At 42.0% G+C, this 27,957-nt stretch overlaps 1 pseudogene; it reads left to right on the top strand.

Annotated features, from left to right (window-relative positions):
* On the top strand, nt 257–27,957 carry NAIPP4 (NAIP pseudogene 4; annotated as a pseudogene).

Here is a 27,957-nt window from a genome sequence, read left to right as displayed (position 1 = left end):
TTGCATGTTTTATTTCAAGAAAAAAGTTAACCTGAAGATTTAATTTTAAATAACTACACATGTTGTCACTAATAGAAATAACAAATAATTATATGAGAATAATGGTAATTCTCCTAAGTTTTGTGGTAAATTTTTTGGCAATTTTATTGAAGTATAATAAAATTCAACAATTCAATACGTCTTTATAAATGTTCATTGTGATATAGGACAGCTCTATCACAGTACTGGGGTAAATTTTAATTATATTTATTAATTACAGATGTGAATTTCTTCGGAGTAAGAAATCCTCAGAGGAAATTACCCAGTATATTCAAAGCTACAAGGGATTTGTTGACATAACGGTAATGTATAACAGCAATTTTTTTCTCAAGTTTTTGGATTACCTGTAAGTGTCTGACTCAGAAGGGCATAGGCATTCTTTTTATGTCATGGGTTTGATTTCTTTCTTCCTTTCTCCTTTCATTCCCCTGGCTCCCATCTTCAAAGTGAAAAATATCACATTCACTTGCTGACCTAGAGCCTTTTTCTTTTTCCAGGGCTGGCTTCTGACGGGCTCTGCTTGCCTTCCTGATAGTCTTCCCCTTTATGAATGAAGCCACTTGCCCCAGCTTCCCTCTGCTGCCCCTATCTGCAGGCTTGCTAAGATCTCCTGACCTAGGCGCTGTCACCCACAGTGGGCTGCAGAGCTGGCTCTTCCTAGCTGGCTAACTATCCTGAATCAGTAAAAATTTCCTAGTGGAGAGTGATGGGAAATCGAATCCAAACTGGCTTAAACAAAAATGAGAATTTATTGATTAACATGACTCAGGAGACCAGAACTCTATAGAGAACATGGCCTGACAGTGGGGGAAGAGAGGTGTTTCCTCAAAAAGAAACTGGGTGCAGCTTTCCCAGAAGAATCAGTTGCTCAATATATAATACCCTGATGAATTTAGTTACCATTCTATGTCTCTTACTTCCTCATTCGTCAAAGTACATCTGTGATATTTAAATGCAGGTCTGTTTTCAAGGTCAGTTTCCGGAAACAGTGACCCTGAGAAGGCTTCCTCCTGAGTATGCATAAACATTCACAGCTTGCATGCGTGTGTGTGTGTGTGTGTGTGTGTGTGTGTGTGTGTGTGTATGTTTGCTTGCACTGCATAAAAACAATTGCAACATCAACAGAAATAAAAATTAAAGGAATAATTCTCCTCCGACTCTGCCGTTCCATCCAGTGAAACTCTTCATTCTGGGGTAAAGTTCCTTCAGTTCTTGTTCATAGATAGGTATATACTTCATAAGTCAAACAATCAGGCTGGGCGCAGTAGCTCATGCCTGTAATCCCAGCCCTTTGGGAGGCCGAGCTGGGCAGATCACTTGAGATCAGGTGTTCGAGACCAGCCTCAAGACCTCCAACATGGGCCGGGTGCAGTGGCTCACGTCTGTAATCCCAGCACTTTGGGAGGCCGAGACGGACGGATGATGAGGTCAGGAGATAGAGACCATCCTGGCTAACATGGTGAAACCCCATCTCTACTAAAAATACAAAAAAAAAAAAAATTAGCCCGGCATGGTGGCAGGCGCCTGTGGTCCCAGCTACTCGGGAGGCTGAGGCAGGAGAATGGCGCGTGAACCTGGGAGGCGGAGCTTGTAGTGAGCCAAGGTCGTGCCACTGTGCTCCAGCCTGGACGACAGAGCGAGACTCTGTCTCAAAAAAAAAAAAAAAAAAAAAAAAAGACCTCCAACATCGTGTCTGTCTCTACTAAAAATACAAAAAAAAAAAAAAAATTAGCCGGGTGTGGTGGCACATGCCTGTACTGCTCGGGAGGCTGAGGCAGGAGAATCACTTGAACCCAGGAGGCGGAGGTTGCAGTGAGACGAGAACCTGCCACTGCACTTCAGCCTGGGCAACAGAGTGAGACTCTGCCTCAAAAAAAAAAAAAAAAAAAAAAAAAGTCAGATAATCAACAACTTGAATTTTAATTTCCCTCAGGGAGAACATTTTGTGAATTCCTGGGTCCAGAGAGAATTACCTATGGCATCAGGTAAAAACTCAAACATTTTCCAAAGGCTTTGCTTGTTTATTTCTTCTTTTGATTTTTTGTCCCTATCTCTTTTTGTCTTCCCCCCCGCCCCGCCCCGTTTATTTTGAAGCAAACTCTAGACATCATTCCATCTGTAACTGTGAAGGGACAACTTGAACGCTGATACTTGCAATATCAAAGCCTACTGGTCTCTTTAATTTGTGCAGCAGCAATAAAGATATAGAAAAAAAAAAGACTAAAGCCTGCTGGTCTCACCTTGTGCTTTTTATTCAAGCTTATTGCAATGACAGCATCTTTGCTTACGAAGAACTACGGCTGGACTCTTTTAAGGACTGGCCCCGGGAATCAGCTGTGGGAGTTGCAGCACTGGCCAAAGCAGGTCTTTTCTACACAGGTGAGTCAGTAGGTTGTGCCCACTTGCTTGCTTGACCTTTAATTCCCACATAGACTTTATGCTCCTGGGCTTACGTTTAGCTACACTCAGCAATGTCCACTAGCTTCAGCGTTTCTTTTTCTTTTCTTTTTTTTTCCCCCTTGGAGACAGAGTTGCCCAGGCTGGAATGCAGATCTTGGCTCACTGCAACCTCCACCTCCCGGGTTCAAGAGATTCTCCTTCCTCAGCCTCTGGAGTAGCTGGAACCACAGGCGCCTGCCACCACGCCCAGCTACTTTTTTGTATTTTTAGTAGAGACAGGGTTTCACCATGCTAGTCAGAATGCTCTTGATCTCCTGATCTCGTGATCTGCCCGCCTTGGCCTCCCAAATGCTGGGATTACAGGTGTGAGCCATCGCGCCAGGCCTCTCTTCAGCATTTCTTATAGATTCGTTTTCTTTTCTTTCTATTTTTTTTGAGACATGGTCATCCAGGCTGGAGGGCAGTGGCGAGATCATGGCTCACTGCAGCCTCAACCTCCTGGGCTCAAGTAATCCTCCTGCCTTGGCCTCCCAAAATGCTGGGATTACAGGTGTGAGCCACTGCACCTGGCATACATCTCTTTTCTTTCCTGCATCATAAATCCTCTCCCAGTTTTCTATTCCTCCCTTAGGTGGTAAACCTTCAAATTTGAAACCTTAAGGTCTGGACTAACAATGAATACAAATATTCTATTTGTGATAATTATCATGTCTTTTCTTTCTACACATTACTCTCCTCACCTCTTGTCCCCTGACAAAGTGCTCCTAGAAACTGTCACAGGACACTTCTGCTTATATTTCTTTAATCAGAACTTAGTTGGATGGGCCGGGCATGGTGGCTCACGCCTGTAATCCCAGCACTTTGGGAGGCCGAGGTGGGTGGATCACCTGAGGTCAGGAGTTTGAGACCAGCCTGGCCAATATGGTGAAACTCTGTCTCTACTAAAAATACAAAGAATTAGCCAGGCATGGTGGCGGGTGCCTGTAATCCCAGCTACTTGGGAGGCTGAGGCAGGAGAATCGCTTGAACCTGGGACGTGGAGGTTGCGGGGAGTCAAGATCATGCTATTGCACTCCAGCCTGGGCAACAAGAGTGAAACTCTGTCTCAAAAATAATAATAATAATAATAATAATTATTATTATTATTATTATTATTATTAGTCAGATGACCATACCTAGCTGTAAGAGGAGCTGGGAAACCTAATCTTTTTCCTGGGTGACAATGTGCCCAGCTAAATATTGGGATTTCTATTAGTATGGAAGGATTTGAGATAATAGGAACATGGATAGCAATCTTTGCCACATTCTGCCTGCAGGAGAAAATCAGGAAATTAATTTTCATGATTCCTAAACACGTAGAGCCTTCCACCAGATTGTGGCATTTTCTCTTTAGCTGCTGGTCATTAGGAAGCACCTCTGCAATCTATAAATGATGGGCTGGTTCCTGTCAGCTAAATCTCTGCCTGAAATACAAGATGATCAGGGAAAGGTTCCTAGGTACCTTGCTGGTCTTGCTCAAACCGAACACATGCATAAGTTACAGTGGAGGTTAATGCAGATCTTTAACTGAGAGATCAAGTAGTTGTCACAAATACCATAGAGCAACACAGAGAAGCAGAATATAGTTGTCACTCTACCTAACAGACATGTGCCATTGGAAAAAAAAAATCTGACTGCCTCACAATCTTAAGCCTTTGGAAAGAGTGTTTGCCATTTCTCCCTACTCTACTGTGTCTTCCTCTTGTCAGCCTTCCGCAAGACCCCTCTGACCAGTGTGCTCCCCCTCTTCCTTTCCAATCCTCCACCACTCCACACAAATCCTAATCATCTCTGACTGTTTTCAGATCTTGCAAGCTCTAGGATCTCATATTTCTGGGAGGCTTTCCTCTGCCCCAGCTTTCCCAGAGTGGAAGGAAGATGAGAAATGCTCTGTTTCTAGTTTGATCCTTTTGCAGAGCTAAATACCAATTTCTTTCCAAAGAAATATAATTTCACAAAGAGACTTAATCCTATTTCTGGTGTAATAAACATGGCAATAATGTGGTAAGAGGCAATTAATTCTTCATGCATTCACTTACATAAGGGCTGCTAGATTTGCTGGTATTTTTTTTTCCGTGAGCTCTAAATATATTCTTTCTGATTCATTCATTAAACGAATACTAATTGAGTGCCACATGAGTGTCAAGCACTTTTCTAGGTTCATGTCATTCATTAGTGAGCAAAAACCTCTACCCTCATAGAGCTTATTTTTATTTTTATTTTTTGAGACAGAGTTTCACTCTTGTTGCCCAGGCTGGAGTGCAATGGCGTTATCTTGGTTCACTGCAACCTCCGTCTCCTGGGTTCAAGCGATTCTTGTGCCTCAGCCTCCTGAGTAGCTGGCATTACAGGCATGTGCCACCATGCCCAGCTAATTTTTGTATTTTTAGTAGAGACAGGGTTTCACCGTGTTGGCCAGGCTGGTCTCAGACTCCTGACCTCAGGAGATCCGCTGGCCTTGGCCTCCCAAAGTGCTGGGATTACAGGCATGAGCCACTGCGCCCAGCCCCCTCATGGAGCTTCAATTCCAGATTCTGGTTGCCAATCTGTTTGTTGATCAAAGGAGAATGGGGCAGAGGGATGGTGTGCATCAAAGTGCATGGTGTGTAGGAGCATTCAATGACTACTTGCCAGTTACCCCATTGGTGGACAGAGTCTTATATAGAAAATTGCCTCACTGGTAACCAACTTCTGACTGTCACAAAACCCAACTGGAGACTGAATAGGCTTTCACTATTACAGGTCTGGTGGTTATTATCTGCATGTTAATGGACAGATGCCCATGCCAGTGGCACTGATCAAGTTTCCTTACTTTTAGGTATAAAGGACATCGTCCAGTGCTTTTCCTGTGGAGGGTGTTTAGAGAAATGGCAGGAAGGTGATGACCCATTAGACGATCACACCAGATGTTTTCCCAAGTGAGTGGAATGAATGTTAACCATCTGCAACTTTGGATGCACTTCAACAGTTTTTTTCTTTTTCCTCATTTCCTGCCTTATTTTATCTTTAGATTGAGTCTTTATCCACTCCTCGGATTCAGGCTATGAAGGATGAGTCTTCATGTCTTTCATCCCTTTGCTCCATGACCCCCTTCCTGTACTAGCCTTCCCCTCTTTATAGTTATGGCATAGTTTTGGCTAGATTCATATATTCACATTACATGTTTACATTATCATGACTATACAAATGCTATGTGGAGCTGAAGCTTGTGGTAAATTTTTATTTATTTTTCCCTTCCTGTATATCCTTTTATTTTTTTAGGAAGTAATAACTGTCCTGTTGGTATGTTAGCTTATTTTTTTTTCCTGAGGTAAAATTCAGGTAGTAACCATTTTATTTATTTATTTATTATTTTTTGTGACAGGTTCTCTCTCTTGCCCAGGTTGGAGTGCAGTGGTGCAATCATGGCTCACTGCAGCCTTGACCTCTCTGGCTCAAGCAATCTTCCTCGCTCAGCCTCCCAAGTAGCTGGGACTACAGGCACATGTCTTCACACCCAGCTAATTTTTTTTTTTTTTTTTTTAAGAGACAGGGTCTCTCTATGTTGCCCAGGCTGCTCTCAGACTTCTAGGCTCAAGCAGTCTTCCCATCCTGGCTTCCCAAAGTGCTGGGATTATAGGCGTGAGCCACCATGCACAGCAATTAAACCATTTTAGAGTACACAATTCTGTGGCATTTATTATAGTACATTCACAATGTTGTGCAACCACCCCCTCTATCTAGTTCCAAAACACTTTCATCGCCCCCAAAGAAAACTCTGTATCCATCAAGCAGGCCCCCCTCCTCTCTCCACCCCACTCCATGCCCAGCCCCTGGGATACACCAACCTAATTGGTGTCTATGGATTTATTTGTTCTGACTATTTCCTCTAAATGGAAGCATACCGTTTGACCTTTTGCATTTGGATTCTTTCACTTGGCATATTGTTTTGAAGTTTATCCATGTTGTAGCTTGCATAAGTACTTCCTTCCTTTTGAGACCAAGTAATATTCCATATGGATACACTGCATTTTATTTATCCATTCATCTATTTGTAGATATTTGGGTTGTTTCTACCTTTTGGCTACCATGAGTAATACCGATAGGAACATTTGGGTACAGGTATCTGATGGAGCATGTAACTGTATTCAAGTCTCTGGGGCATATACCTAACAACGATATTGCTAGCTGTATAGTAATTCTATGTTTTTACTTTTTTTTTTTTTTTCTCACACAGAGTCTCACTCTGTCGCTCAGGCTGGAGTGCAGCGGTGCGATCTCAGCTCACTGCAACCTCCGCCTCCCAGGTTCAAGCAATTTTCCTGCCTCAGTCTCCTGAGTAGCTGGGATTACAGGTGTCTGCCACCATGCCCGGCTAATTTTTTGTATTTTTAGGGTTTCACCATGTTGGCTAGGCTGGTCTCAAACTCCTGACCTCAAGTGATCCACCTGGCTTGGCCTCCCAAAGTGCTGGAATTACAAGCGTGAGCCACAGCGCCTGGCCTGTTTTAACTTTTTGAGGAAATGCTAAACTGTTTTTTCCACAGTGCTTGCACCATTTTAAATTCCCACCAACAACAATGTTGTGCAACCACCCCCTCTATCTAGTTCCAAAACACTTTCATCGCCCCCAAAGAAAACTCTGTATCCACTAAGCAGGCCCTCCTTCTCTCTCCACCCCACTCCATGCCCAGCCCCTGGGATACACCAACCTAATTGGTGTCTATGGATTTATTTGTTCTGACTATTTCCTCTAAATGGAAGCATACAGTTTGACCAACAATGTATGAGGTTTCCCATTTCTCATCAACACTTTTCTATTTTTAAAAAAATTATAGCCATCTGCTTAATTTTTTTTTTTTTTTTTTTTTTTTTTTTTGAGATGGAGTCTCACTTTGTCGCCCAGGCTGGAGTGCAATGGCGTGATCTCACTCACTGCAACCTCCGCCTCCTGGGTTCATGCCATTCTCCTGCCTCAGCCTCCCGAGTAGCTGGGACTACAGGCACCTGCCATCACGCCCGGCTAATTTATTTTTTATTTATTTTTTTAGTAGAGACGGGGTTTCACCGTGTTAGCCAGGATGGTCTCCATCTCCTGACCTTGTGATCCACCCGCCTCAGCCTCCCAAAGTGCTCTGATTACAGGCGTGAGCCACCGCGCCCGGCCAGCCATCTGCTTAATTTTTATGTACATTGCTTATTTTTGTTTCTTGAGATAAAATTCATGTATTAATAATTTTATTTATTTAAATGAAATAAATGAAGACGAACACCAGCTCATCTTCAACTTATCCCAAATGTTTAAATCTCCTCTTAAGTCATTCAGACCTACCAGATATCTCATCATTTTCATTTCTTGAAAGAGTCATCATTTTTTTTTTCTTTTTCTTTTTTTTTTGAGACGGAGTCTGGCTCTGTCACCCAGGCTGGAGTGCAGTGGCATGATCTCGGCTCACTGCAGACTCTGCCTCCCAGGTTCAAGCAATTCTTCCTGCCTCAGCATCCCAAGTAGCTGGGACTACAGGCATGCACCACTATGCCTGGCTAATTTTTGTATTTTTAATAGAGATGGAGTTTTGCCACGTTGGCCAGGCTAGTTTCAAACTCCTGACCTCAAGTGATCCGCCTGCCTCAGCCTCCCAAAGTGCTGGTATTACAGGCGTGAGCCACTGCGGCTGGTCCATTTTCATCTTGAAATGAGTTTCCCTGGAAGTCTTCTGGCCTGCTGGATTATGAACAACTTGTCCTATAATCATCCTGGGATCCAGGGATCTTTCTTCACAGGCATCCTGGAGATTATCTCCTCTGTTGTATCTCCTGGATCTAATGTCATCCTCTTCTTGGTTCACTCGCTCATTTTGTTGGAACACTTCATCGGAGTTCCCTGGGAAAGACTGCATAAGAAATACACACTTTTAGTTGCATATAATGCATATACAGACATATAGATCTATCTAGATATATGTTTTTCCTGTATTCTCACACTTATTTGATAGTTTAGCTAGGTGTAGAATTATAGGTTGGAAGTCATTTTAATTCTAAATTGTAGAGGCACTGCTACATTTCTACTGGTTCCTAATGTGCTGTCGAGAAGTTCCATGCCTTTCTGCTTGTCAATCCTTTTACTGCAAACAAAATTTTTTTTTTTCCTGTGCTGGAAGCTTTCAGAAAAATATCTGTTCTAAAATTTTATGAAGAAATATTTCTTTTCTATGAATCTTTAAACTTAATTTTTTTTTACCCATCAAACTCTTTAGAAATGTTTAATTGCAAGAAGAAATTTGTGTTTTCACTATGTAATTAGTAAGAGTTTTTTTTTTAGAAATGAATATGAACACATACAGATTTTAAAATGAATGCTTCCTGCTCATTTGTATAGTGGTAAAAACAAAAATAAAACAAAATGAATACTTCTATCTAATTTTATTGCCTTGAAGGTATTTTGATAGCAGTAGTTACCTCATTTTTCTTTCTTATTTGGGCTTAGTGTATAATAAATTATTGAGAACAATGGGGACATTCTACTTAATTCTTGGAAGGATAAGCTAGGATGCAGTCTAGTCTTATTTAGAACTTACTCTGGAATCGATCAACTCCCTTTTATACTATTATTATTATTATTAGTTTTAGTGTTTTGTTGTTGTTGTTTTTGAGATGGAGTCTCACTCTGTCACCCAGGCTGGAGTGCAGTGGCGTGATCTCGGCTCACTGCAACCTCCGCCTCCCGGGTTCAAGCGATTCTCCTGCCTCAGCCTCCCAAGTAGCTGGGATTACAGGTACCTCCCCACCATGCCTGGCTAATTTTTTGTACTTTTAGTAGAGACGGGGTTTCACCATGTTGGCCAGGCTGGTCTTGAACTCCTGACCTCAAGTGATCCTCCTGCCTCAGCCTCCCAAAGTGCTGGGAATACAGGTGTGAGCCGCCACACCTGGCCTTTAGTGTTTTTTTGTTAAGAGACTGGGTCTCGGCTCTGTCACCCAGGCTGGAGCAAGTGCAGTGGTACAATCCTAGCTGACTGTAGCCTCAAATTCCTGGGCTCAAGTGATCCTCCCACCTCAGCCTCCCAAGTAGCTAGGACTACAAGCATGTGTCACCATGCCCGACTAATTTTTTAAAGTTTTTTTTTGTAGAGATGGGGTCTTGCTTTGTTGCCCAGGCTGGTCTCAAACTCCTGGCTCCAAATGATCCTTCTGCTTCAGCCTCCCAAAGTACTTGGATTACAGGCATGAGCCACTGCTCCCAGCCAACTCCTTTTTGGATTTTTACTCTTCCTTTGCCTCTTAAAAAAACTGCAAACCAGTATGTCTCCAAATGATTACCTAAAATTTTTATGTATGCTTTAAAGAATGAATAAAAAGCAACCTATGAACCTCCTAGTAAAGTCAAGAAATTGGACATTATCAATGCCTTAAAAGACCCCTGCGGCCGGGTGCAGTGACTCACGCCTGTAATCTCAGCACTTTGGGAGGCCGATGTGGGCAGATTGTCTGAGCTCAAGAGTTCGAGACCAGCCTGGGCAACATGGTGAAACCCCATCTCTGTTAAAAAACAGAAAAATTTAACCGGGCCTGGTGACACACGCCTGTAGTCCCAGCTATTAGGGAGGCTGAGGCAGGAGAATGGCTTGAACCTGGGAGGCGGAAGTTGCAGTGAGCCAAGATGGCGCCATTGCACTCCTGGGCGACAGAGCGTGACTCTGTCTCAAAAAAAAAAAATCAAAAAACAAAAAACAACTCTGCATGCCAACCACCCCCTAATTCTGATTATATCCCTGTCCCTCCAATCCAGAGGTAAATGTGATGCTCAGTTTGGGTTAATTATTCCCCTGCTTCTCTTTGTGGTTTTACCAACTACATATACATCCTTAAACATATTTAGCTTTGTCTATTCTTGAAGTTCAAATAAGAAGCATACTGCATGATTCTTCTTGTAATTGGCTGGTTTTACTCCACGATGTTTTTGAGATTCATCCATATTTATATGTACTACACAGTTGTAGTTCACTTGTTTTCATTGGTAAATAGTGTATTATTTTATGAATATATAATAACTTATTTTACTGTTGATTAACCTCGTGGGTCGTTTTCAGAGTGTTGCAAATTCAAATAATGCCCTATGAACATTCTTGTACATATTTTCCAGTGCTCATGTGTGTTTCTCTAGGATACATAACAAAGTAAAGAATTGCAGAGTCATAGAACTTTGCGGGTGTTCAACTCCACTAGATAATGCAAAGCTTTTTCCCAAGTGGTTGCACTGATTTACATTCCCATTGGCCTAGATGCGTTTCTATTGATTTGCTTCCTCACTAACTTGGTATTGCCCAAATTTTAATTTTTGTCAGTGTAATTACTAATAATGTTAAGCTTATTTTCTTCTTCTTTTTTTCTTTCTTTTTTTTTTTTTGAGACGGGAGTTTCACTCTTGTTGCCCAGGCTGGAGTGCAATGGCACGATCTCGGCTCACCACAACCTCCGCCTCCCAGGTTCAAGTGATTCTCCTGCCTCAGCCTCCCGAGTAGCTGGGATTACAGGCATGTGCCACCACGCCCAGCTAATTTTGTATTTTTAGTAGAGATGGGGTTTCTCCATGTTGGTCAGGCTGGTCTCGGACTCCCAACCTCAGGTGATCCACCCACCTCAGCCTCCCAAAGTGCTGGGATTACAGGTGTGAGCCACCGCGCCTGGCAGTTGAGCTTATTTTCATATTTTCCTGCAGAATAGTCTTGTTCTTTCTCTTCAAGAGTGTGTCTTAGCTATTTTTTTGCCCTTTGGTCTTTCATATTCCAGAGAATATATTAAATATCCCAAGCAGGCATGGTGGTTCACACCTATAATCCCAGCACTTTGGGAGGCTGAGGTGGGAGGAGTGCACAAGGCGAGGAGTTTGAGACTAGCCTTTGCAACATAGCTAGACTCCATTTCTACAAAAAATTTTTAAAACAAACAGGGTGTGGTAGCATGCATCTGTAGTCCCAGCTACCTGGGAGGCAGAGGCAGGAGAATCGCTTGAGCTCAGGAGTATAGGTTGCAATGAGCTATGATTGTGCCACTGTACTGTGGCCTGGGTGACAGAGTAAAACTTTGTCTCTAAAAAACAGAAATATCCCTCTTTATCCTTGATAGTATTTTTTAGGCCTTTATTAGTTTTTTCATGTTACATCTTTTAGATTATTTTCTTTTTAATCTATCTGTGACTATATTTAAAGTCAATTCTTGTTTTTTCCTTTTCCTTTTTGTGGGTAACGGGGTCTCACTATGTTGCCCAGGCAGATCTCAAACTCCTGGGCTCAAGCTGTCCTCCCACCTCTGCCACCCTAAGTGTTGAGATTACAGGCATGAGCCACTGCACCCAGCCTTAAAGTGAATTGTTATAGGCAACAACACAGTGGGGTCTTTTATTTTATTTTTTATTTGTTTATGAGACAGACTCGCTCTGTTGCCTACGCTGGAGTGCAGTGGTGCAGTCTTGACTCACTGCAGCCTGGACTTCCCAGGCTCAAGCAATCCTCCCACCTCAGACTCCTGAGTAGCTGGGACTACAGGCACATGCCACCAAGCCTGGCTAAGTTTGTTAGTTTTTTATAGAGACAAGGTCTCACTATGTTGCCCAGTCTGATCTCGAACACCTAGCCACAAGCAATTCTCCTGCCTTGTCTTCCCAGAGTGCTGGGATTACAGGTGTGGACCACTGAACCCAGCAGGTCTTGCTTTTTTTTTGAGATGGAGGTGTGAGCCACCACATCCAGCCAGGTTTTCTCTTTTTTTTTTTTTTTGAGACGGAGTCTTGCTCTGTCGCCCAGGCTGGAGTGCAGTGGCACGATCTTGGCTCACTGCAAGCTCCGCCTCCTGGGTTCACACCATTCTCCTGCCTCAGCCTCGCGAGTAGCTGGGACTACAGGCACCCCGCCACCACACCTGGCTAATTTTTTGTATTTTTAGTAGAGACGGGGTTTCACCGTGTTAGCCAGGATGGTCTCGATCTCCTGACCTCATGATCCACCTGCCTTGGCCTCCCAAAGTGCTGGGATTACAGGCGTAAGCCACCACGCCTGGCCAGGTCTTGCTTTTTAAGAGTCTGACAATAACTGCTTTCTAATTGGAATGTTTAGAACGTTTAAATTTAATGCAATTATGAATATGGTTGGATTTAAACCTATTTTACCATTTGCTTTCTATTTATTTCATCACTTCTTTGTTTCTTTTTCTTTTCCTGACTTCCTAGGGTTTAGGGTTTTTTTTTTTTTCTTTTTTCTACCCCCTCCTTGAGTATTTTTTTTTGTACTCCATTTTATTTCTGTCAGCTTATTAGCTATTAATCCTTATTTTACCTTTTTACTACTTGCTCTAGAGTTTACCATATGCCTATTTAACATATCATAGTAATCTTCAAAAATATTATAACAGCTGGGTGCAGTGGCTCATGCCTGTAATCCCGGTAATTTGGGAGGCTGAGGCAGGCAGATCACTTGAGGTCAAGAGTTCCAGAGCAACCTGGGCAACATGGTGAAACCCCGTCTCTACTAAAAATACAAAAAAATTAGCTGGGTGTGGTGGCGCACACCTGTAATCCCAGCTGCTTGGGAGGCTGAGGCACGAGAATTGCTTGAACCCAGGAAGCAGACGCTGCAGAAAGCTGAGATCGTGCCACTGCACTCCAGCCTGGGTGACACAGTGAGACTCTGGGTCAAAAAAATATATAACACTTGACATAAAATGTATGAACCATACAATAGTATATTTCCATTTCTCCCCTCTCATCCTTTGTGCTATTGTCATACATTTTATTTCCATGTACTTTAATAAATCTTACAATATAATGTTATATCTTTGCTTTAAACAATTTAAGTACATTTTTACAACGGCAAAAGTCTTTCATATTTGCCCTCTTAGTTATCTTATCATTCCTGGTACTTTTCATTCCTTTGAGTAGAACCAAATTTCCATCTGCTATCATTTTCCTTTTAAATGATGTGCTTCCTTTCACTTTTTTTTTTTTTTTTTTTTTTTTTGAGATGGAGTCTTGCTCTGTCTCCTAGGCTGGAGTTCAGCGCCACGATCTCGGCTGACTGCAACCTCTGCCTCCCGGGTTCAAGTGATTCTCCTGCCTCAACCTCCTGAGTAGCTAGGATTACAGGTGCCCACCACCATGCCAGGCTAATTTTTGTATTTTTAGTAGAGATAGAGTTTCACCATGTTGGCCAGGCTGGTCTTGAACTCCTGACCTCATGATCTGCCTGCCTCAGCCTCCCAAAGTGCTGGGATTACAGGGGTGAACCACTGTGCCTGGTCCCTTTCACATTTTTTGTAGTGCAGTTATGCTGGCAACTGACTTTATTTGGCATTTGTTTGTATGAATAAGTTTATATTTTACCTTCCTTCATAGTTCTTTTCCTTGATGGGCCTATTAAAATATTTTTTTTCTTTTGTAAGCCACTTCACCCCTTCCCTATGGGTTTGTTTTTATTTACCTCTACATGGCTGACTTTGGACAGAAACGTTAAAAGTTCTACTTGTTGTTTTCCTGAAGCTATGCTTCTATTTCTGGACTCATCGCCAAGTCACCTGAAGGCAATACAAATGAAGTATCTGGGCCACATGCAGTGGCTCACGCCTGTAATCCCAGCACTTTGGGAAACTGAGGTGGGAGGATACCTTGAGCCCAGAAAAAAAAAAAATTAGCCTGGCATGGTGGCACGTGCCTGTAGTCCCAGTTACTTGGGAGGCTGAGGTGGGAGGATCACTTGAGCCTGGGAGTTGGAGGCTACATTGATCCTTGGTCGTGTCACTACCCTCAAGCCTGGACAAAAGAGTGAGACCTTGTCTCAAAAAAAAAAAAAAAAAAAAAAGTGTCCCTTTGCTTTACTCCTGCTCTCCAGTGATTCTACAGCATGGAATAGGCCACTGACTTACTCACATGTATAGTTCTCATCTGTCCATTTTAATAATTGCAACTAGAGCTCTTTTTGAACTTTCTCTCTTGTTCTTCAAGCATACATCAAACCTGAGTTTAGAGGGTATTTGCGTCCTAGTTTCACGAGATTGGCAAGTAGTTTTTAGAGAGTATGTTTGTGGCCATTCTTTTCTTTTGATACTGACGGAGGGTTTCTTTTTTAATTTTTTGTTTGTTTAAGACAGGGTCTTACTCTGTCACCCAGGCTGGAGTGCAGTGATGCAATCACGGCTCACTGTAGCCCCAACCTCCTGGCCTCAAGTGATCTTCTTGCCTCAGCACCCCCAAGTAGCTGGGACTATACATGCATGCCACCCTGCTAGCTAATTTTTAGAGGAGGTCTCTCTATGTTGCACAGGTTGGTCTGGTCTTGAACTTCTGACCTCAAGTGAAACTCCTACTTTGGCTTCCCAAAGTGCTGGGATTACAGGCATGAGCCATTGCACCTGGCAATGGAGTGGTTTGTGGTTGGTTAGTTTTTTGTTTGTTTGTTTGTTTGTTTTTGAGACAGAGTTTCACTCCTGTTGCCCAGGCTAGAGTGCAATGGTGCGATCTCGGCTTACTTCAACTTCTGCCTCTTGGGTTCAAGCAATTCTCCTGCCTCAGCCTCCCAAGTCGCTGGGATTACAGGCGTCCGCCACAACGCCCGGCTAATTTTTGTATTTTTAGTAGAGGTGAGGTTTCACCATGTTGGTCAGGTTGGTCTCAAACTCCTGACCTCAAGTGATCCACCCGCCTCAGCCTCCCGAACTGCTGGGATTACAGGCGTGAGCCACCATGCCTGGCCTTGTTTGTTTTTTGTTTTGTTTTGAGACAGAGTCTCACTCCATTGCCCAGACTAGAGTGCAGTGGCACAATCTCAGCTCACTGCAACCTCCGCCTCCCAGGTTCAAGCGATTCTTGTGCCCCAGCCTCCTAAGTAGCTAGGACTACAGGTGTGCGCCACCACTGCCTGGTTAATTTTGGAATTTTCTTTTTAATAGAGACAGGGTTTTGCCATGTTGGCCAGGCTGGTCTCAAACTTCTGGCCTCAAGTGATCTGCCCGCCTCGGCCTCCCAAAGTGCTGGGATTTTGGGTGTGAACCACCGCACTCACAGAGTTTTTTTCTTTTTTTAATAAATTTTTATTTGAAATTATTTAGATTTGCAGAAAGTGCAAAGTAATACAAAGAGTTCCTATATATTGCCATACCCAATTTACCCTAATGCTAACATCTTACACTAGCATATTTGTCAAAATCATCAGTGTACCAATTCATATACTGTACATTACTATTTACTAAAATCCAGAGTTTATTTGGATTTCACCAGTTTTTCCACTATGTTGTTTTTTGTTCCAGAATTCATAAATAGAGGGTTTTTTTTTTCCTATTTTTGATTCTTTAAGTTCATTTTTGTTGGTTGCATGGAGGAGTGTCATATACGCACTCATTCCACCAAATTCCCTTGATATCCTTTACCGTTACTTTATAAACCATTTACATTTCTCTTGCAGAGAGCCACAACCTAAGTGCCTTACCTGATGACACTGACAGAGAGAATCACTGGAAATGATAGTTTTATACTTAATTCTTGTCACTAAAACTCTAATAGTGTTTTTAAAAACCTAATACAAGGCCAGGCCTGGCGGCTCACACCTATCATCCCAGCACTTTGGGATGCCTAGGGAGGAGAATTGCTCAAGGCCAGAAGTTTGAAACCAGAACAGCCTGGGCAACATAGTGAGACCCTGTCTCTGAAAAAACAAAACAAACAACAACAGCAACAACAACAACAAAAATACCTAACACAAATACTTAAATGCATACAACTATTTTTATAACTTTTAACTTTTACACTTAGTTGTCCATTTCTCCAAAATATGAAGTCCTCTGCGGAAGTGACTCCAGACCTTCAGAGCCGTGGTGAACTTTGTGAATTACTGGTAATGAACACCGTCATCTTGTCTGTTTTACCAGCACATGATCATATAATTGAAAACTGTTTTGAACAGGAATGTCTCATCATAAATAAGTTAATAAATTCTACAAACATCTACTAAACATCTGTTATGTTCTAGGTACAGATTGGGGAAATCACAATAAACCAGTCGGGCACAATACCTAGCTTCATGAAATGTATAGTCAATCTCTTCTACTTCAAGGCCCAGACTCTCTTAGACTTTGTTGATTAGCATCCAGGCTAAATGGATCCTCTCTGGATCTTCATGTGGAGGGCAATAAGGCTGGATTTGCTACTTGGCCTTTTTAGGGGTTGAGAAGATGTTACTTTAACAAAAGCAAGTGCCCAACAAAATCATAAACCCAGGTAATAGGCTGACCACTTTAAGCTGAGAAATCCTACCTAGTTCTCTGGGATATAAGCCACTACTAATTTAATGCACACATATACCACCTTATTTTGAGGCTGTGTGTTAGGTATGTTATGTTTGTCATCCCCCCACCCCCAACACACACAAAAACCAACTTGCTATTCACGTGATTCATTTTCTATATGAATTGAAAAATGGCACTAAAGAAAAAAGTTTGGGGATATAGAAATAGCTTATTTTTTAAGGAAGAAACATAACCTTTCTAAGTACTGGATGTGTAATATTAAAAATGTAGTTAACCAAGGACAGAGGCTGCACCTAATGACTTTTGGAGGAACCTTCTTGCTCAAGACACTATGATTCTCGTTACCTGGATAGTATCACCCATGGATTGTATCATATATGAACCACTGAGGAACACACATTCCTGCAGATGTTTGCAGATTATTAATTGCTTTATATTTGGAGCACCCCTCCCTTCAATCAGCATAAATATTTGAGGGTGGGCTGTGTTTAGAAGATGTTTAGTCTCCAATGATTACAACATGATGCACCACTCTCCTATACAAATTTTGATTTAAGAAAAGATTTTATTTTTCAAAGGAAACCACAAGTGAAAGCAATCTTGAAGATTCAATAGCAGTTGGTCCTATAGTGCCAGGTAAGAACTTTGAAGTAGCACGTGGGATTATATGTATTTGTAAATATATTTGTATACAGGGCAGTTGCAAAAAAAAGAGTATTTATAATTGTCCAAAGAGCTTCCAAAGAGGAGCAGCATTGCAACAGTGTCGTGTATGAGCAAAAGTCAAGATTCTTGTGGCTTCTCCAGAGTGCAGGCAGGACCAAACTGATAGTAGGCAACGTGTCTCAGGTACAAGCAAACCAGTCCTTAGAAGCACCAATCAGTAAACTTCTTTCCTGAGATTTTTATTTTTATTCATTTTATTTTATTTTATTTTATTTGAGACAGGGTCTTACTTTGTCACCCAGGCTGGAATGCAATGGCAAGATCATGGCTCACTGCAGCGTCGACCTCCCAGGCTCAAGTGATCCTCCCATCTCAGCCTCCCCAGTAGCTGGGACCACAAGCATGTGCCACCACACCTGGCTAATTTTTGTATTTTTTGTAGAGACAGGGTTTTGCCATGTTGGCCAGGCTGGTCTTGAACTCCTAGGCTCAAGCAATTCGCCTGCCTCGGTCTCCCACAGTGCTGGGATTACAGGCATGAGTCACTTTGCCTGGCCTCTTTCCTGAGATGCATGGTGCTTATGATAAGCACACATTATGTCTAGGTCCCTGCTTCAAGTGTGGCACTTTGGACACATGCTTCCCACATTCCGATTTTGTGCCAAAACCTATGAGATGATCGCAATGTGGGAATCATGGATGGCTGTGGAAAATCCTAACACATTCGTAGTAGACAGGCAGAATCATGGAATGAAAAGGCATGGCGTTCAGACTGAGGGAGATGTGACTATGAATCCCTGTTGTGCCCCCCTTTCTTTCTCTCCACAGAAATGGCACAGGGTGAAGCCCAGTGGTTTCAAGAGGCAAAGAATCTGAATGAGCAGCTGAGAGCAGCTTATACCAGCGCCAGTTTCCGCCACATGTCTTTGCTTGATATCTCTTCCGATCTGGCCACGGACCACTTGCTGGGCTGTGATCTGTCTATTGCTTCAAAACACATCAGCAAACCTGTGCAAGAACCTCTGGTGCTGCCTGAGGTCTTTGGCAACTTGAACTCTGTCATGTGTGTGGAGGGTGAAGCTGGAAGTGGAAAGACGGTCCTCCTGAAGAAAATAGCTTTTCTGTGGGCATCTGGATGCTGTCCCCTGTTAAACAGGTTCCAGCTGGTTTTCTACCTCTCCCTTAGTTCCACCAGACCAGACGAGGGGCTGGCCAGTATCATCTGTGACCAGCTCCTAGAGAAAGAAGGATCTGTTACTGAAATGTGCGTGAGGAACATTATCCAGCAGTTAAAGAATCAGGTCTTATTCCTTTTAGATGACTACAAAGAAATATGTTCAATCCCTCAAGTCATAGGAAAACTGATTCAAAAAAACCACTTATCCCGGACCTGCCTATTGATTGCTGTCCGTACAAACAGGGCCAGGGACATCCGCCGATACCTAGAGACCATTCTAGAGATCAAAGCATTTCCCTTTTATAATACTGTCTGTATATTACGGAAGCTCTTTTCACATAATATGACTCGTCTGCGAAAGTTTATGGTTTACTTTGGAAAGAACCAAAGTTTGCAGAAGATACAGAAAACTCCTCTCTTTGTGGCGGCGATCTGTGCTCATTGGTTTCAGTATCCTTTTGACCCATCCTTTGATGATGTGGCTGTTTTCAAGTCCTATATGGAACGCCTTTCCTTAAGGAACAAAGCGACAGCTGAAATTCTCAAAGCAACTGTGTCCTCCTGTGGTGAGCTGGCCTTGAAAGGGTTTTTTTCATGTTGCTTTGAGTTTAATGATGATGATCTCGCAGAAGCAGGGGTTGATGAAGATGAAGATCTAACCATGTGCTTGATGAGCAAATTTACAGCCCAGAGACTAAGACCATTCTACCGGTTTTTAAGTCCTGCCTTCCAAGAATTTCTTGCGGGGATGAGGCTGATTGAACTCCTGGATTCAGATAGGCAGGAACATCAAGATTTGGGACTGTATCATTTGAAACAAATCAACTCACCCATGATGACTGTAAGCGCCTACAACAATTTTTTGAACTATGTCTCCAGCCTCCCTTCAACAAAAGCAGGGCCCAAAATTGTGTCTCATTTGCTCCATTTAGTGGATAACAAAGAGTCATTGGAGAATATATCTGAAAATGATGACTACTTAAAGCACCAGCCAGAAATTTCACTGCAGATGCAGTTACTTAGGGGATTGTGGCAAATTTGTCCACAAGCTTACTTTTCAATGGTTTCAGAACATTTACTGGTTCTTGCCCTGAAAACTGCTTATCAAAGCAACACTGTTGCTGCGTGTTCTCCATTTGTTTTGCAATTCCTTCAAGGGAGAACACTGACTTTGGGTGCGCTTAACTTACAGTACTTTTTCGACCACCCAGAAAGCTTGTCATTGTTGAGGAGCATCCACTTCTCAATACGAGGAAATAAGACATCACCCAGAGCACATTTTTCAGTTCTGGAAACATGTTTTGACAAATCACAGGTGCCAACTATAGATCAGGACTATGCTTCTGCCTTTGAACCTATGAATGAATGGGAGCGAAATTTAGCTGAAAAAGAGGATAATGTAAAGAGCTATATGGATATGCAGCGCAGGGCATCACCAGACCTTAGTACTGGCTATTGGAAACTTTCTCCAAAGCAGTACAAGATTCCCTGTCTAGAAGTCGATGTGAATGATATTGATGTTGTAGGCCAGGATATGCTTGAGATTCTAATGACAGTTTTCTCAGCTTCACAGCGCATCGAACTCCATTTAAACCACAGCAGAGGCTTTATAGAAAGCATCCGCCCAGCTCTTGAGCTGTCTAAGGCCTCTGTCACCAAGTGCTCCATAAGCAAGTTGGAACTCAGCGCAGCCGAACAGGAACTGCTTCTCACCCTGCCTTCCCTGGAATCTCTTGAAGTCTCAGGGACAATCCAGTCACAAGGTATACCTGTATATATTTTGGATGACTATTCTGATGTATAATTTCTTTTTCTTACTTTAAGTGGTTGAAAACTTCTGAGGCCATGAAAGCATGCATGCTCATTGATAGAACAGATATAAAATAAACCTTCACTAATTTTTTTTTGACAGTAGCATGAATTAGTGAAAAGTCCTTGAATAATAGAATGGTTTTCAAATAACTCAGACAAAATGAATAAAATATTTATATTAAATTATTGAAGGTTCTTAATAAAGACATGAATTATCTGTTATTAGTAAAAGAATTAGCTATATGTAAGATGATGCTTAGAAATTACCTTCACCCTAGCTGCCTAAAGGAAGAAAGGCCTGTAGTCCCTGGGAAATAAATAAATTAATGGGAAATAATATCTTCATCTATTTGTGTCTTAACTCCTCTAAGCACTATTTGATAGTTTTCAGTGTAGACTTAACCCATCTTTCATTAAATTTATTCCTAGATACTCATATCTTTTGAAAGTATTGTAAATGTCATTAAAAATATTTTTTCATTTTCTAATTGTTGCTAGTATTGCTTTGGTCTTAAGCAGTTTGACTGTTATATGCCTAGGTGTGCTTTGCTTTGTATGTATCTTGCTTGAGGTGCACTGAACTTTTTTGGAATGTGTGGGTTGACATTTACCAAATTTAGAAAATTTTTCATCTTTTTTCAAGTACTGTTTTATTATGGTAAAATACATGTAACAAAGCTTACATTTTAATCATTTTAAGTGTACAACTCAGTGGCATTAAGCATTCACTATGTTGTACAACCATCACCGCTATCCATCTCCAGAACCTTTTCATCATCCCAATTAAACAATAAATTGGGCCGGGCGCGGGGGCTCACGCCTGTAATCCCAGCACTTTGGGAGGCCGAAGAGGGTGGATCGCCAGAGCTCAGGAGTTTGAGACCACCCTGGGCAACATGGTGAAACCACATCTCTACTAAAATACAAAAAATTAGCTGGGCGTGGTGGCATGCGCCTGTAGTCCCAGCTATTCGGGAGGCTGAGGCATGAGAATCACTTAAGCCTGGGAGGCAGAGGTTGCAGTGAGCCCAGATCATGCCACTGCACTCCAGCTTGGGCTACCGAGTGAGACTCCCTCTCAAAAAAAAAAAAAAAAAAAAAAAAAAAAAATCTTCCCTCCCACCAGCCCCTGATAACTTCTCTTCTATTTTCTGTCTCTATGAATTTGCCTCTTCTAGATATTGTTTATAAGCATTATCACTTGTCTGGCTTATTTCACTTTGCATACTGTTCAAGGTACATCATGTTGTAGCCTATATTGGAATTTCATTCCTTCACATGTACTCCATAAATATGTACAATTATTATGTATCAACTTTGAAAAGGAACTTCATCCTTTTTATAGCTAATATTCCATGGTATGTATATAGTACATTTTGTTTATCCATTCTGCTGCTGAGAGACACTTGGGTTGTTTCTACCTTCTGGCTATCATAAATAATGCTGCAATGAACACTGGCATTATAAGTATCGGTTTAAGTTCTTGCTTTTAATCATTTTGGGTATATACCTAGAAGCAGAATTGCTGATTCATATGGTAGTTCTATGTTTAACTTTTTGAGGAACTTGCACAGTAGCTGCACCATCTTACATTCCCACTATCCATGTACAAAGGTTCCAATTACTCCACATCCTCTTCAGCACTTGTTAATTTTTGTTTTTGTGGAGACAGAGTCTAATTCTGTCACCCAGGCTGGAGTGCAGTGGCGAGATCTTGGCTCACTGCAACCTCCACCTCTCGGGTTCAAGCAATTCTCCTGTCTCAGCCTCCTGAGTAGCTGGGACTACAGGTGTGCACCACCATACCTGGCTAACTTTTGTATTTTTAGTAGAGATGGGGTTTCGCCATGTTGCCCAAGCCGGTCTCGAACTCCTGAGCTCAGGCAGTCCAGCCACCTTGGCCTCCCGAAGTGCTAGGATTACAGGCATGAGCCACAGTGCCCGACCTGTTTTTGTTTTCATTGTTGTTTTTCAGACAGTGTCTCGCTCTATTGCCCAAGCTGGAGTGCTGTGGTGCAATCATGGCTCACTGCAGCCTCAACCTCTTGAGCTCAGGTGATCCTCCTGCCTCAGCCTCCTGAGTAGCTGAGACTACCAGCATGCACCACCGTGCCTGGATAATTTTTTATTTTTTGTAGAGACAGATTCTTGCTATGTTGCCTAGTCTGGTCTTTTTTCTTTTTCTTTCTTTTTTTTTTTTTGAGATGGAGCCTCGCTCTGTCCCCCAGGCTGGAGTGCAGTGGCGCAATCTCGGCTCACTGCAAGCTCTGCCTCCTGGGTTCACGCCATTCTCTTGCCTCAGCCTCCCAAGTAGCTGGGATTACAAGCTCCCGCCACCACACCCAGCTAATTTTTGTATTTTTAGTAGAGATGGGGTTTCACCATGTTGGCCAGGCTGGTCTTGAACTCCTGACCTCAGGTGATCCACCCACCTCGGCCTCCCAAAGTGCTGGGATTACAGGCATGAGCCACCGTGCCTGGCCCCTAGTCTGGTCTTGAACTCCTGGGCTCAAATGATCCACCCACCTTGGCCTTCCAAAGTGCTGGGATTACAGGTATGAGCCACCTCACCCAGCCCATTTTGTTTTGTGATTATCATAAAGCCGTTCTAGTAGTTGTGAAGTGGTATCTCATTGTGGTTTTGATTTGCATTTCTCTAATGCAAATCATGAAAATGATGTTAAGTATCTTTTCACTTTTTGAAAAAATATCTGTTTGCTCATTTAAAAATTGTTGTTGTTTTTGTTGCATTGTAAGAGTTATTTGTATATTCTGGATTTCAACCTGTTATCAGATACACAGTTTGAAAATATTTTTCCCATTCCATAGGTTGTCATTTTACTTTATTTATAATGTCCTTTGTGCACGAAAGTTTTAAATTTTGACGAAGTCCAATTTATCTGTTTTTTTCTTTTATTGCTGGTCCTTTTGGTGTCCTATCTAAGAATCCATTGCCAAATCCAAGGTCATGAAGATTAACTCCTATGTTTTTTCTAAGAGTTGTGTGATTTCAGCTTTTATATTTAGGTCGTTGATCCATTTTGAGTTGATTTTTTTTACATGGTGAGGGATAGGAATCCAACTTCATTCTTTCGCATGTGCAAATCCAGTTGTCCCCAACCGTTTGTTGAAGAGATGCTATATTTCTTTTCTCTTCTTTTTTTTTTTTTTTTTTTTTTTTGAGACGGAGTCTCACACTGTAGCCTGGGCTGGAGTGCAATGGCGCGATCTTGGCTCACTGCAACCTCCGTCTCCCAGGTTTATGTGATTCTCCTGCCTCAGCCTCCTGAGTAGCTGGGATTACAGATGCACACCACCATACCCAGCTAATTTTTTTTTTTGTATTTTTAGTAGAGACGGGGTTTCACTATGTTGGCCAGACTGGTCTCAAACTCCTGACCTCGTGATCCGCCCGCCTCAGCCTCCCAAAGTGCTGGGATTACAGGCATGAGCCACTGCGCCTAGCCGAGATGCTGTATTTCTTTTTGTGAGTCTGAAGAGTAGCACAGGGCTTCCCATACAGTGCATAAGCTGCAAAAAGCAATATCTTCATATATGTATTCTTTAAAAAAAAAAAAGAATGTTTTATGGTATGTGGAAGGTTTGCATGTGAAAATAGCTGGATGAATCAAAATGACAGTTTTAAAATGTCCATTCAGAACTCTTTAGATTAATAATGGGAAACTGTGCTGCTTTCCAGACCAAATCTTTCCTAATCTGGATAAGTTCCTGTGCCTGAAAGAACTGTCTGTGGATCTGGAGGGCAATATAAATGTTTTTTCAGTCATTCCTGAAGAATTTCCAAACTTCCACCATATGGAGAAATTATTGATCCAAATTTCAGCTGAGTATGATCCTTCCAAACTAGGTAAGGATGGCACTTTAATATACTTGTTTTTACGTAAGTTGGAAAAGCTACTTGGCCAATAATTTATTTAAGAGTTAAAGTGCCTGTGGTTCTAAGGGTGTAGCCTGTATCCATGGTAAATTGTGAGGAATAGCACTCTTTCTCATTAAGAAAGCAGAGTGCTGTTTGTAATTATTGAGCCTTTACTACACACTAGGAAGTATCCTAAGCACTTCACAAATATGAACTCAGTCTTCATACCCACTCTATGAAGTAAAGTACTATTATTATTATTATTATTTTTTTTTTTTTTTTTTTTTTTTGAGACAGTCTCGCGCTGTCGCCCAGGCTGGAGTGCAGTGGCACGATCTCGGCTCACTGCAAGCTCCTCCTCCCAGGTTCACCATTCTCCTGCCTCAGCCTCCCAAGTAGCTGGGACTACAGGTGCCTGCCACCACGCCCAGCTAATTTTTTGTATTTTTAGTAGAGACGGCGTTTCACCGTGTTAGCCAGGATGGTCTCGATCTCCTGACCTCATGATCTTCCCGCCTCGGCCTCCCAAAGTGCTGGGATTACAGGCATGAGCCACTGTGCCTGGCGAAAGTAAAGTACTATTATTAATGCTATTTTGTAGCTGGGAAAACTGAGACATAAAGAGATAAAGTAATTCGTAATATCCAGCTAAGGAAATGTATATCTGTGACTCAAATACAGGAATTTTGACTCCAAAATCTGAGTTCTTAATCCCTAATATAGGCCGGGCCTGGTGGCTCACACCTGTAATCCCAGCACTTTGGGAGGCCGAGAAGGGCAGATCACCTGAGGTCAGGAGTTCGAGACCAGCCTGACCAACATGGTGAAACCCTGCCTCTACTAAAAATGCAAAAATTTGCTGGCATGGTGGCATATGCCTGTAATCCCAGCTACTTGAGAGGCTGAAGCAGGAGAATTACCTGAACCTGGGAGGCAGAGATTGCAATGTGAGCCGAGATCGCGCCATTGTACTCCAGCCTGGGGAACAAGAGTAAAACTCCATGGGGAACAAGAGCAAAACTCCATCTCAGAAAAAAAAAAAAAAAAGAAAGAAATCCCTAATATAATGTTGCCACTCCAAAATAATTTGTAGGGTTATTTTATTTTGTTTTTGGTTAGGCTGGTCTTACATTGCAACTTACAGATCTGGCAGCTCAGCAGGAAGGAAATCTGCTAATCCGTAGTCATTGGAAGTATTTCCCTGTTTCTCACCAGCCTATCCTAATAGTTCATGGAAAACGGTGCAGCCATCTTTCTTAAATACATCATTTAGCTAAATGACTTAGGCACCATCATTCCTTAACTTAGTAAACACTGAACACCATGTTGGCCAGCCTGGTCTCGAACTCCTGACTTCAAGTGATCTACCCACCTCGGCCTCCCAAAATGCTGGGATTACAAGCGTGAGCCACTGTGACTTGCCAATTTAGTCTGGTTTGTAGGCATGATGTGCCTTGGCATGTGACCTCCTGTGAGACCAAAAGAGAAGCTCATATTTGTCCAGGATGGTGAAACTCTCAGCACAATGGCGTCAGTGCTTTAGGCTTGGCTGTACTTCTTTGGTTTCTGCTTCTCCCTTAGATTTTTGCCAGGTGGTTCTTTATTAACCCATCAGCTCTTTGGGGTTTTTAAGGAGATATTTTCAAAATATTATATTAAGCTGGGCACAGTGACACGTGCTTGTAATCCCACCTACTTGGGAAGCTGAGGCAGGAGGATCACTTGAGTCCAGGAGTTTGAGACCAGCCTGTGATGAGAAAGACATCCTCAATCTAAGTACTTAACTATTCTCCAGAAATGGATACTGCCGTTCTCTCCAATCATTCAGAAATAAAAGATTCAGCTAAAAACTGCTGAATCAATAATTTGTCTTGGGGCATATTGAGGATGTAAAAAAAGTTGTTGATTAATGCTAAAAACCAAATTATCCAAAATTATTTTATTAAATATTGCATACAAAAGAAAATGTGTAAGGCTTGCTAAAAAACAAAACAAAACAAAACACAGTCCTGCATACTCACCACCAAGCTCAAGAAATAAATCATCACCAATACCTTTGAGGTCCCTGAGTAATCCACCCCAGCTAAAGGCAAACCCTTCAATCAAGTTTATACAGCTAACCCTCCATTGTCCATGGTCAACAGGGAAGGGGTTGGGGACAGGTCTGCCAATCTATCTAAAAGCCACAATATGGAAGAAGTATTCAATTTATATAATAAATGGCTAACTTAACGGTTGAATCACTTTCATACATGGATGAAACGGGTTTAACACAGGAACCACATGAATCTTCTGTGGGCCAAGAGATGTTCCTTAATCCTTGTAGAATATTCCTTAATCCTTGTAGAACCTGTTTTCTATATTGAACTAGCTTTGGTACAGTAGAGTTAACTTACTTTCCATTTATCCACTGCCAATATAAAGAGGAAACAGGGGTTAGGGAAAAATGACTTCATTCCAGAGGCTTCTCAGAGTTCAACATATGCTATAATTTAGAATTTTCTTATGAATCCACTCTACTTGGGTAGAAAATATTTTATCTCTAGTGATTGCATATTATTTCCATATCATAGTATTTCATAGTATTATATTTGATATGAGTGTCTATATCAATGTCAGTGTCCAGAATTTCGTTCCTACCAGTTAAGTAGTTTTCTGAACGGCCAGAAGACCATTCGAAATTCATGATACTACTATAAGTTGGTAAACAACCATACTTTTATCCTCATTTTTATTCTCACTAAGAAAAAAGTCAACTCCCCTCCCCTTGCCCAAGTATGAAATATAGGGACAGTATGTATGGTGTGGTCTCATTTGTTTAGAAAACCACTTATGACTGGGTGCGGTGGCTCACACCTGTAATCCCAGCACTTTGGGAGGCTGAGGCGGGCGAATCATTTGAGGTGAGGAATTCGAGACCAGCCTGGCCAGCATGGTGAAACCCCATCTCTACTAAAAATACAAAAATTAGCCAGGTGTGGTGGCACATGCCTGTAGTCCCAGCCACTAGGGCGGCTGAGACGCAAGACTTGCTTGAACCCGGGAGGCAGAGGTTGCAGTGAGCCAAGATGGCGCCACTGCATTCCAGCCTGGGCAACAGAGCAAGACCCTGTCTGTCTCAAAACAAAAAACAAAACCACTTATATTGCTAGCTACATTAAGAATTTCTGAATATGTTACTGAGCTTGCTTGTGGTAACCATTTATAATATCAGAAAGTATATGTACACCAAAACATGTTGAACATCCATGTTGTACAACTGAAATATAAATAATTTTGTCAATTATACCTAAATAAAACTGGAAAAAAATTTCTGGAAGTTTATATCTAAAAATGTTAATAGTGCGTACCTCTAGGAAGTGGGCCTGGAAGCCATTCTTACTTTTCAGTCTCTCCCATTCTGTACTGTTTTTTGTTTTACTTTCGTGCCTGCATTATTTTTCTATTTAAAACAAAAATAAATCTAGTTTAGCACTAAAATATTAACTGGAGCTACCTCTGGAGGGCAAGAGTACTAGAAGGTGGGATGGATTGTCTTCTTGCTTGTCTGATTTTATATGTAATACCTTTGTAATTAGAAAGGTTGTTAAGCATTATATCAGAATCCAGTCAGGAGACAGAAACCACACAGAAATTTGAATGGGGAAAGTTTAATATACAGATGCTCGGCCTGACG

This window comes from Homo sapiens, chromosome 5, assembly GCF_000001405.40.
Source record: "Homo sapiens chromosome 5, GRCh38.p14 Primary Assembly".
Classification (NCBI taxonomy): Eukaryota; Metazoa; Chordata; class Mammalia; order Primates; family Hominidae; genus Homo; species Homo sapiens.
Note: the sequence above shows the minus strand (reverse complement) of the source record. Positions and strands in the feature narration are given on the sequence as shown.